At 36.3% G+C, this 13,350-nt stretch overlaps 1 protein-coding gene across 1 annotated transcript in view; it reads right to left on the bottom strand.

Moving 5' to 3' along the window:
• ARHGAP24 (Rho GTPase activating protein 24) overlaps positions 1 to 13,350 on the bottom strand; it is a 527,517-nt gene that overhangs the window by 512,813 nt on the left and 1,354 nt on the right. The gene's annotated exons all lie outside the window — the stretch shown is intronic.

Here is a 13,350-nt window from a genome sequence, read left to right as displayed (position 1 = left end):
AGTGTTACTTGCTAAACAAGTAAGTTCTAACCCTCACAAGCCACTGCTGTCCTATTCTTGCTTGGAAATATATATCAGAAGCACAGTCCCAGAAGGGACACCATTGAGCCATGAGCAAATGTCGGAAGGAAATCTAAGTATTTAGTATTCTTTCTTTTGAGCTACAGAAATAACCCAGTGTTTCTGAGACCACATCCTATATTTTTCAAAGCTTCCTGCAAAGGTTTGTGGAGCAGCATTCTCTGGCACCCCACAGCTCAGCTGCACAAAGGGCTCACCTTGCTCCAGATGAAGAGTCTGTCTCACCCAGCTGAGCCATGAGCTGCAGGGCCAACTGGCTCTATTTGACCTCTCCTGTTTAAGAAAGGAGTCCCTCTGAGTCATCAAGTCCCAGTCTCAGGCTCATGTCAGGGAAGCTAAGGATACTCCCTGGAATGTTCCACAAATTAAACAGTCAAGGATGGGACTGCAAACAGAGAGATAATAAAAGCCCTGCACAGAAACAACTCTCCCTGTTTCTCAGATTTGCACAGCAGTCATCATGAGCTGAATCCTCTTTTTCTCTCCTCATCCATTCTCTCACTCACCTTCAGTGATTATTTGACTGGTCAAGGCAGTGCTTAAAGAGATTAACCCGTTATTTTTCGTTTTTATTTTTACTTTCTGCATGAAATCTCTTAAGTGTTAAATGCCATCAGACTTATTTGTTGTTTTTCAGGCACATGAAGATCATAAAATAATGTACAATTCTGATGTGGTTTGAAGGCTGAATTAATTGAAAATCTACAGTGTGGAGAATATTCAATTTACTTTAAATGGGTTCAAACATAATTAATATTATTACAAGGAATGTAGAAGGAATTAGCTTAAAAATGTAACCAAAAACAAGTTACAAGTTACACCTTGAAATCAATATGGTACAATTTTCAGCTGCCTTTAGGGTTAATCTAAGCTCCATAAAAATGCTTTCAAAGATGTTAATTACACATTCTCTTTCTCTTTTTGAGCCAAAATGTTTCTCATCTAAACAATGGAACACAGAAAATCATACTAGTGACTCTTTTCTCCATTTTTGCCAAAGATGGTACTTAACTAGTACCCTTCTAGTTGCAAAGCAGAAGAGGCAATTCATTATATGCATCAGATGTCTTAGGAGAGCATTTAAGTTCAATTTTCTCAAGGAACCCCAGGTGAGAAAGGCTCCTGAGAAATAGGCCAGCTGCCAAAGTTCAAGAGGCTGGTATGCTTGTTCCTCACGTGTCCTGGGGCAAATCACCTCAATCACTTTGGATTCATTTTCCAATGGAAAGATTGGAGGAGAGATGGTAATAGCTGTTTTCTAAGCAGGCTTTTATTCTGAAGTCCTATGAATTTATTCTAAGAGGACCTACAATGCTGTATTTCATTTAGAATAAATTTTAATTTGTTATTGGACTGCTGTGGAGGCCTAGCTAGATAGTAAACATGAAAGATTAAAAGACTTTTTATTTATATTTCTGTAATTTTATTCTTCTCCTCTAATCTAAACTTTCACCAAATTTATAGGAAAGGTGAAGTTATACATTTAAATTACACCTCCCTTTTCCCCCTCTCCACAGGAGGTGTTAAGACCCAGGTTTAGCAAAAAAAAAGTCGGAGGGAGCAGGAATTTCTTTCGTGGAAAATATCAAGGTGGCTTCGGCTTGCTAGGCAACAATTTTATCCATACAACACCTTTCATACCCACAGTGTCTCACAGCTGAACAGAAGCAGTAGTTTAAAAAATATACACAACAAAAAATTAGCCGGGCGTGGTGGCCGGCGCCTGTAGTCCCCAGCTACTCAGGAGGATGAGGCAGGAGAATGGCGTGAACCCAGGGGGCAGAGCTTGCAGTGAGCCGAGATCACGCCACTGCACTACAGCCCGGGCGACAGAGCAAGATTCTGTCTCTAAATAAATAAATATATATATATAAAATATATTTATTATATATATTATATATTTATATAATATATATAATAAATATATATTTATATAATATGTAATAAATATGTTTATATAATATGTAATAAATATATATTTATATAATATATAATAAATATATATTATATAATATATAATAAATATATATTATATAATATATAATATAAATATATATTTATATAATATAATAAATATATATTTATATAATATAATAAATATATGTTTATATAATATGTAATAAATATATGTTTATATAATATGTAATAAATATATGTTTATATAATATAATAAATATATATTTATATAATATGTAATAAATATATGTTTATATAATATGTAATAAATATATGTTTATATAATATGTAATAAATATATGTTTATATAATATGTAATAAATATATGTTTATATAATATGTAATAAATATATGTTTATATAATATATAATAAATATATATTTATATATTTATATAATATATAATAAATATATATTTACATGTTTATATAATATATATAAATATATATTTATATATTTATATATATTATAAATGTATATAAATTTATAATAAATATATATTTTATATATAATAAATATATATATTTACTATATATAAAATAAATATATATTTATATATAATAAATATATATTTACTATATATAAAATAAATATATATTTTTATATATATAAAATAAATATATATTTTTATATATATAAAATAAATATATATTTATATATATATACACACAAGCAACCAAGCAAACCAAGGACTTGACAAATGCAAGAAGTAAGATGAAAGAAAGAAATGAATTTTAAGAAAATGATCCTGTAATTTAAGTGTTTCCAAAGCAAAGTTCACCTTAAATTTGAAAACATTACAAAGGTTCTTGAAAAGGCCCTGGATGAGTCACTCCTGCTGAAGGAGCTTTATCCTTAGCCTGACCCAGAATTTACAAAGCCAATACAGATGCAGGAGGAGGCCAGCACAAGTTCAGGAGGAGCGATAGGAACTACTCAGTATATTGTACAGCACTGTTAATCTAGTAGCATTTCTTATCACAGGGAATGAAATCTATGCATGCAATGCTTTCATCATAGCATTTATTTGAACTCAAGCAATGTTTAGTTACATTGAATGGAAACTTCCGCAAGCCATTTCATTAAAAATATGGCTGTCATCAAGAAACTAGTAATTTAAAGGAACTATTACTAGTATGTCCTTAAGCTATGTTTGCTCACTGTACTAACAGAGCCAATATTTTCACTGCTTTTCTTACTGCATCGTCAATACATAGTGCTGAGAGCTGGAGGCTGTTCTCTCTCATGCATCATAAACACCAGTTGTCATCTTAGATATTGTTTGCATTTGTTTTACTGAAACAGCAGAAAGTATGACTTTATTTCCAATTTCCCAGATGATTTCACAAAATAAAGTTAAAACTCAATCTTTTAACTTAATTAGCCAGTTTCTCAATGGGGAGATCTTTTATATTTGAGGAAGAAAAATTCATTGTAGTGACGGACCATCATACACATATTGCAGGACATTTGGTATCTTGACCCTTGTATTAAATGCCAGTAGCTTCATCCAGTCATTGTCAAGATAAAAAAAAAACACCCTCATACATTTTCAAATTCCTCCTTGTTAGGGTATCACATATCCCCCCAAAACCACAGCTGATGAAAACTAGCCCAATGGTACATGAAATCTGTCAAGGAATGGTCACACTAAACTTTATCATGTTATAGATATCCCTTCCAGATCCTCACTCCTCTATAAAATCAAATAAATCAAATACCCATTTTTCAGAGTTCTGCCAAATGCATACACATAGCCACAGTCTTATCAAAATTATTCTAAATGACTGGGCACGGCAGCCTGTAATCCCAGCACTTTGGGAGGCCGAGGTGAGTGGAGCACTTGAGGTGAGGAGTTCAAGACCAGCCTGGCCAACATGGTGAAACCCCGTCTCTACTGAAAATACAAAAATAAAAAGTAGTCAGGCATGGTGGCGCATGCCTGTAATCCCAGCTACTCGGGAGGCTGAGGCAAGAGAATCATTTCAACCTGGGAGGCAGAGGTTGCAGTGAGCCAAGATCACCACTGCACTCCAGCCTGGGTGACAAAGTGAGACTGTCTCAAAAAAAAAAAAAAAACTGTTCAAAAGGAGCACACTGCCATTTGGCAGCATAGACTTTTCTATGTTGGAACAACCTTAAAAAGAATTTACTCTAGCCCTCTTATTTTACAGGTAAGGAGACTGAAGTCTAGAAAAACTAAGTGATTTGCCTGAGTTCTCAGGCACTAATTAATACCAGAGGTAGGATTAGAGTCCACATCTTCCCAAATCTTTTCTCAATGTCCTTTTCACTTTTCTCCAACCATAGCATTTATTTAAACAAAAAATAAAGGAGGACCTTTTGAAACATACAGTTAATATATATACCTACTGAAAGCCTACATTTTAAAAATCCAAGGAGATATATATATATATATATATATATATATATATATATATTTTTTTTTTTTTTTTTTTTTTTTTTTTTTGAGATGGAGTCTTGCTCTGTCACCCAGGCTGAAGTGTGGTGGTGCGATCTCGGCTCACTGCAAGCTCCACCTCCCAGGTTCACGCCATTCTCCTGCCTCAGCCTCCCGAGTATCTGGGACTACAGGCGCCCACCACCAAGCCCAGCTAATTTTTTGTATTTTTTTTAGTAGAGACGGGGTTTCACCGTGTTAGCCAGGATGGTCTCGATCCCCTGACCTCGTGATCCACCCGCCTTGGCCTCAACAAAGTGCTGGGCTTACAGGCGTGAGCCAGTGCGCCTGGCCCCAGGTCAATATTTTTTTAAGGAAAAAAACAAAAAAGAACACCTTCAAGTCTTTTCTAGCAAATCTGGATGCAGTGTTTTCAAATAGGATGCTTTTAAGTCTTAAAGCAAATACAGCCTACCAACCATAAACCAAATACAACAGTAAATGATGGCCAATGGCTCATGTCTGTAATCCTAGTACTTTGGGAGGCTGAGGCAGGCAGATGACTTGAGGTCAGGAGTTTGAGACCAGCCTGGCCAACATGGTGAAACCCCATCTCTACTAAAAAGACAAAAATCAGCCTGGCATGGTGGTGCACGCCTATAGTCCCAGCTACTCGGGAGGCTACGGCAGGAGAATCGCTTGAACCCAGGAGGTGGAATTTGCCGTGAGCCGAGATGGCACCACTGCACTCCAGCCTAGGCAGCAAGTGAGACCATGTCTCAAAGAAAAACATAAACAAAAACAGTAAATAACATTACACACAACGCACAAAGGGGGGTGAATAAAATATCATCTGCTTGCCCTTTTAAGTAATGACGTACAATCAACAAATATCTTAAATACACTCACTGTTTTCTTTGAGGAGAAAACAATTCTCAGTGTACAAATTTATATTTCCATTTTTATCAAATTTTTATCATCAATATTATTATTGCATTAACTCCATTTCCAATTTCCCATCTGCCTGTGCTTTTCAAAACAAATATGTCAATTAATAAAATACCCAGTGTTGTTTTTATGAATTTTTAATAATTTCTAATTTGACAGTCATTTAGGCATCTGAACTATTATCATTAAAATATTTCAAATTGAATATACTTTAGAGTCCCGGGCTCAGGGCAACATATAAACAATGTATAGTTCTAGAAGAAGGTACAGAATCTAGCTAGTCAGCATCCTTTTACATATAAACTAATGGACTTCTGTGGGACTTACCCAGCTGCACTATGAGTAGATGGCATAGGAAAATAGGGAAAAAACCTACACGAAATTGAAGTCACACAAACACTGGACAGCATCCTGTGGCCAGTTAAAATCTTCAATCAATACAATATCAATGTGTACTTTTAATCACTCTTAAGTATTTAGATATATGTTAAGTATCTAGCTTTTTCATGATTTCCAAATGCCACCTTTGAATAATAAGTGGTCCTCAAGCTTTAGTGTACATCAGAATCACCTGGAGGCCTTGTTAAAGGCAGTGGCTGGTCCTGGGTGGGGCTCAGTAATTTGCATTTCTCAGGTGGAACTGATGCTGCTGGTCCTGGTACCACACTTGAGAATTGCACCCTTAAAGGTTTTTAAAAATATTTATTTTTTGACAGTTATAAATAATCAGAAGCACATTTTTCATTTCTACCCAGTGTATGAAATGCACACACACACACACAAATTAAAACATATGAAACAATTTTTATTTATTTATATTTTTTATTTTTGTTTGTTTATTTATTTATTTATTTTTGAGATGGAGTTTCGCTCTTGTTGCCCAGGCTGCAGTGCAGTGGCGCCATCTCGGCTCACTGCAACCTCCGCCTCCAGGGTTCAAGCAATTCTCCTGCCTCAGACTCCTGAGTAGCTGGGATTACAGGCATGCACCACCACGCCCAGATAATTTTTGTACTTATAGTAGAGACGGAGTTTCGCCATGTTGACCTCAGGTGATCCACCCACCTCAGCCTCCCAAAGTGCTGGGATTATAGGCATGAGCCACAGCGCCTGGCCTATTTTTACTAAATATAATGAACACTGAGTTTTTTTTTCCATCTATTCTATCTTATTCTATTCTTTTTCATTCAAAAAGAAATGTTGGTCATAAGCCAGTAATTTGATTTTATGACCACTGTTAGATTAAGACCTACAATTTGAAAAATACTGCTCAGGATTCCCCCTGTTTGTCACTGAATTTAATAATAACTATTAACTTGTATTGATATTTATCAGGTGCCAGACACCCCTCCAGTCTTTTCATGCATTGCTCACTTCATAAATTAAGAACTCACATTAACACTATGAAGTAGGTGTCATTAAATGCCCATATATAAGGAGAGGAAAACTGTAGTTAAAATCGGTGAATGCAACCTCCCCAAGGTTGCAGGGCTTAAGCATATCAGAGCCAGGTTAGAATGTAGGTCTAATTCCAGAGCATAACAGTTAAAGGTTGCTCTCTTGGAGTGAGATACTTTAATTTGAATCCCAGATCTACCACATAGTGGCTGTGTGATTTTTGGCAAGCTACTAAGCCTCTCTAGGTTTTGGTTTTTCCATCTATAAGAGAGAGATAGGGCTCATGTAGGAACTGTGAGGATTAAATGAGATAACCTATGACAAGCACAGGGCCAAACTAGCACATAGTAAGGCTTCAATCATTGTTATCTATTCTTACATAGGAATGGCATTCTTAATTGTCACATCAAACATTGTCTCCTTTCCCTTTCCCTTGGCTTTTAGTTCCCGGTACTGTCTCTGGATTTGCCTTTTCTCCTGATTTCTTGGCTTCTGGCACTTGTTATCCTGTGACCTTGCTTCTGCCCCTCCCCCTTTCATCCTCCCTCGGCAGCTTGACCTGTTGTGCAGGGGTTCTCAGAGCTCCTCATGAGGCAGTTCCCATGGCTTCTACCTGTCTCCAGGCACAAAGACCCCAGCTCCTCCTTGGAATCCACCAACCTTACCTAATCTTATAGGTACTGAAAAGTTATCCCACGATGAAAGCATAAGTTGTCACCAATAAATGAAGTCTCCAATCAACAAATTATTTAGAAATGTGAGAAAGCAGAGATCTGCTGTATAACACATATATGATGTTATATAAAATCATCAACATTTCACTTGACGATTTCACAATGACAAACCATAATGGGAAGTGAAAACCAAAATGACACTGAAGGTAGTATTTTTGTGGCTAATCCTGGGTTTACACAGTTAGGTTGCAAGAAGATAACATCAGGCTGTTTTAACTCCCCCGGATCATATTTTCTTGCTGGAAGCTTCTCCATATAAGAAAATTTTAAACCAGATAGTTCCAACAAAATGAAACAATCAAAGATGACTCTTCAAGGTAGCTGTAGAATTCTCTTCTCTAGGTATCTCCTCAAACAGGAGTGAGATGCACTCCCATAATTCCTCTAATAATTGCCCTTCTCTGAGAAAGACTGGCTTTGAAATCCCATTCCCTGTAGCTCATTTTACTTCTGCGTGCCCAGTGAGTACTAACACTACTAACCCAACTTTTCTTCTTTTCTCAGTTGCTATCTCCCCAAAGAAATCATCCTTTTTTGTTTTATTTCAGCTTTCCCAAGCTGGGGCTCTATTCTTAAACTGGGGACCACTTGCCTCCTCTTTGCCTCCACCTGTTGCTCACAGTGCTCCCAGGACGTATGTCCCCATGTCATGGAATGAAGTAATGGATATAGATTACTGGATCTCTGTGGACCACACCTTTCCTGTTCACTTCTCACCAGAAAATAGTCTGGTTAGGCTAATCACTATAGATTGATTCAGTTACTGGCCTATGGTAGATGGAGCCTCTTTTCTCACTAGCCAACCTTGGTAGTGGTAACCCATCCCACAGGTCCCAACTCATCAGCACTAGGATGCTGTCATCTAGAAGACCTGCAAGAGAGCTCCAAGGCCAGTTCATGAGAATCATATTGAGATCAGGATCTATCCTACATGCCAAACCCATGAAATACACAGTTTATTATTTGAAAATTCATAATTGAAAAGCACTGAGAGGAAAGGGACATAGTAAATATGTCAGGGTATTTGGACTTATGCAGATGTGGTTTTGATGTTCAAGTCTACATTACCTTGGGTAACTTTATTTACCTCTCTGAGCCTAAACATCCCCATACAATAGTCATAAAAATATCTGGATTAAATATAACATAGATTACATCTAGAATTACTAATTCTAATTACTACTAAAATCAGAAGTAATGTATGTAAAAATATCTCATGGAGTACTTGGTACGTAGAAGAAGTACTTAATTCTTTAGGATGATTATTATTATGAGAGTCTTAGATTCAAGGAGAGGGAAAAAAACTCAAGACAAAATGAAAGTTATATTCTCCCTTTTTGGAGAATTTGAAAAATTACTTTATTTTCTGAAGGCTCAATTTGATGGTTTGAAAACAGCCCTAATTACAGCTCCATCAGCCTCAATTTTTTGATAGATTCAATTTGTAAGAAAAAACAAAAGGTTTTCTCTTACCCTTCTCAGCGACATCCCTAAGGGAATTCTTCTATACATCTGTGATACACATATTGAAAAGAACTCATGTTTGGCCTTAGTATCTACTTTCAAAGTTACTAAAATGTGATTTTTTTCCTACATTTTTTAAAAAATGTAGCATTTGGAAGAAAGGTCATTTTATCTATCAGGGATTATAAAAGCACTACAGAGAATGTTTCAAGGAACTACAAAAAATGACCTAGAAAACAATTATTGGTTCCAAAAAACTAAAGCCATACCATGCAAATTTATAAATATTTAACTAATTGTATCAAGAAAAAAACGTGATGTAACTATTCAATCTGTTTTCATCATGGATTTAACTTAGCTTAATTAGCTTAGTACACTTGTGGGTATCATAAGGGTATTAAAAGTGACAATAAGATGATGTGAACCATGTCATACAAAAAGCTTGACTGGCGTACAATTGAGCATCAAATTTAGTTCAGAGTTTTTTGGGTGACAAGTCAAACTGAGAAGCATGGTGAATTTTTAGCCTGTCTTTTTTCTAACCAAAAAAACCCACTAGTTAATCAGAAGAGATATACTTTAAAAAATTCCTAGCAGTCTAGGCAAAAAGGAATTTATCATGGAAATCCTTATATAAAGAATTTGAAACGCATAACATAAGGTGCCAAGATATTTCTTTCCTTTTCAGCTCATCTCTTTTATATTGACTCTCAGTAGTTAAAAAGGGGGGGTATCATATTAAAGCATAGTGTAATAAAGACATTTTGACATTTTAACAAAAAAGTATTGTAATGTGATTATAGTAAGTACATTTCCAGTTATGTAATTTGATATAGATAGAGAGTTTAGAAAACTTAGAGCAATTAGCGATTGGACTATTATTCTTAAATATCAGTGATAGTAGTTCCAGGCTTTTCAGAGATGCTGAATAAGGAGGAACTTGAGCTTTCAATCCCTGGCTATACCCTGAACCACACGTATGAATTCTTGATCAAAATACGTATTATCCACGTGCTAACTGGCAGTATGCACATGACAAAGGTAACATTGCTCTGAAAATAAAATAAGCCCATATGTATTTTAGTCTAAACAGTGTGTAAGCCCCTTTCTACATATTAGCAAAAATAACTGCAGACAAAGAATTTTTTTCAGGAAGAAACTTTGGATTTGCCTCAGTGCTCAAATGAGATGAAAGGAAAATCAATACAATAAAGAAACTATAACATGAAAGAAGCTGCCCCTCTAAATTTCCTCTTCTCCATCCAGCTCCACATTCTCCTTTAATTAATTTCCCTCAAGCACCAGCACTCCAGATAATTATTAAATAGCCAAAATTAGTGTTTCTATTTTATTTGATTAATTAAGACTATTGCCCATTCAATAAGCAGGATCTCCAAATTTAACTTCATTATTAGTCTTCACAGCCAAATCCAGGACCTCCCACTTGGATTTCACAGATTACAGATTTTATAGTACAATATAAAACACAGTTGTGGAAAATGTATATCTATTATAATTGTTTCTATTTTCTTTAAACTCAAGTGTATTTTGTGATGTCCAAAAGAAAAAGATGATTTCACAGTAGTTTTTGTTTGTTTTGCTTTTGCTTTAGATATGCAAAAGCACAATATTTCATCTATTATAGAGATTAAATAGGCATGTGTGGGGTGGTATGGAAAGTGGATTATGTTTTGTAGCATTGTTATATTTGGAAAATGAACTCTAAGACCAAATAGACATTTTTTAAATGGACTTCTGAGATATAACTATCTTCATAAGTTGGAGTGCACCAGTATTTCATTTATTGACGACTTCACTTGCCCACTTATTGGGGAAACATTAACAGATGTGTACTATGTTTCCAACACTGGGCTGGGGGCTTGAATTCAGGTGGCTCCCCCACCACCAATCTACCCAGTGAGGAACTCACAGTAGTTGTGAGAGAGGACAGGGGAAATACATAAAAATTATTGCAACAATTATTCAAAGTATGTTCAAAATGCTATAGAAGCAGACAAGATGAAATGATTAATTCTTCACGGAATTGGGTAAGTTTTCCCGAAGGAAGTTCCACTGGAAGTGAGCCACCAAGAATCAAGAGGGACTTTCAGACAGAAGGCATTCCAGGAGAATGAATCCATGAACCAGAGATCAGAAGCCTGAACAGTGAGGAGACCTTGTACACAAAGGGGGAGCTAAAAAGAAAGGGCTTGGAAGAGCTTTTAGAAACTATACTAAAGAGTTTAAATATTGTAAGTCATTGGAATCCAACAAAGGTTTTAGATAAAGAGACTTACACAGTTAGATCTGACTTTGTAAAGATTAACTGTAGCAATGCCACAGTGGAGTGTAGATGCTGCTTTTTTGCACAAATGTACACAATAACCACTGAAAACTGAATATTCTTTGATTCTTCATCACAATAATCCCTCCACTTCCAAATGTGCTTGTACTTAGCTGCTGAAGCCATCAGAACCTTGTAAAGTTTGAGTTTGTATAGCAAAGACAGATGGGTTACCATTGCGAGACTCGATGTGAGGCTTCCACTCTTCACATGAAGAACATTAACTTCATGGCTAAGCTGACCATTTAACAACTGTATTTTTAAATATCTTTCTGTATCTGGGAGAGATCTTAGTCCTTTAGCCATGGCTTTAAGAGCAAACAGGCATCGTTCCATTTTAAATATCTTCTGCTTTTTCCTCTATAAAATGTGATCAGTGAAGAATGGATGTCTCAGGCTCTTGTTATCACCAACCTCCTCCACACCCACATGTAACCAATTGGGTGGCTGTCCCTTGTTACTGGGCTCCAGACTGAGACTCTACCTACCTTCCCCATCTTGTTTTTCCAAAGCACCCACTTGTACCAGAAACTGAAACATGGCAGAAAGAAGGAATCAGCATGACATAGCTCAATTCATGAGAAAAGAACCCTTCACTGCTGGTCAGAAAATTCACAGGAAAATAACTACAAGCGACTAAGACGGTGCTACAGCACCACACACACTAAGAACAGGAAACAAACGCACGGCCTGAACTGTACAGTAGCACCGCTTGCTTTCAGCCCTGAGAAACCAACCCAGACTTTAATCGAGCCGGAAAGAAAACACTCGTCAATGGGCCAGTAGGTCACAGTGAAAATATTAAGGGAACTGTTGGTAAACACCAACAGGGCTTTGGCTAAGACAGCAAAGTAATCATACTCGGACTACTCATCACCACCTGTTGCACATTCCTCACCCTTCCTGCCCACTCCTTACCCTTCACCCTGCAGAGTCCAAGATCACACAGTAAATAAAACCATGATCCATGAAAGCTCTCAGAGCTTTGGCCATTACTATCCCCAGCAAAAGCTGAAAGGATTTCCCTGGGGATTTCACCCAAAAACACTTTTACACTTAAATCTATGTTCTAGTCTGGAAGAATGCATTGCCATTTGTTCTGCAGTGGATTTTTTTCTAGATAACTTAATTCTTTCCCACTTCTTATCAGGCTTATATTTTCAAAATAGTTCAGATTCAGGGTATGTAAGGCACAGAAGAATATTACAGAGAAACCACCTCATCTCAAATCCAAACCCCTGAGATGAAGTAATAAAACCAAGTAATATAGTTGAAAGCCAAGGACAGTCTGAGTTTCAACAGCCCCTCCACATGCAGAAAGAATTACCGATTATTTTTCCTAGTACCATACCTCTTTTATATTCCTTCCAAATACCTCAAACTAAATTCCAGATCTGAAAAACTCAGTTTATCTCTTATCCCCACTTAAAGGTCTTCCACCAAGAATATACTGCCTGTGAATGGTAGGATGTTATTTATTTCAGAGTTTTGTCAATATTTCCGTCCTCCAAGATGTCAAAGGTGAAGTCTCTGACCACTAAGTAATGGCTCTAGAGAGAACAGATTTCTGGACTTGCTACCTGAAGGCCAGGCAGTCAGGGAAGATAAAATGGTAACTTTTATTACTGAGCTCTCTTACAAGTTGAAATATGCCCAGAAAAGAGGAAGAATTAAGAAATTTAAAAGGGGGAGTGAGATCTTCACAAGTCTGATGTGACTTTATGGCTGTTTTCTGGCTTTTTCTAATACATACATTCTGTGTGTTTTATTTTACAATGCCCAGTTCAATAGCGTCATCCATTTTTGCCCTGAAGGATTGGTTTTGAGTTCTAATTGGAACTGGGGACAGATTGTTTGTATTTAATCCGTCTGTACATCTTCTACTCAGTAACTGAGTAAAGCTCTTAAACTCTACTGCAAATATCCCTGGATTCCAATGAATTTGTCTTACTTAGTAGACATAGCAACACATATTGTTTTATTTATGTATTTATGTATAAGCAAAGCCTTAACAACTTTTATATT

Source organism: Homo sapiens, chromosome 4 (genome assembly GCF_000001405.40).
Source record: "Homo sapiens chromosome 4, GRCh38.p14 Primary Assembly".
Taxonomy (NCBI): domain Eukaryota; kingdom Metazoa; phylum Chordata; class Mammalia; order Primates; family Hominidae; genus Homo; species Homo sapiens.
Note: the sequence above shows the minus strand (reverse complement) of the source record. Positions and strands in the feature narration are given on the sequence as shown.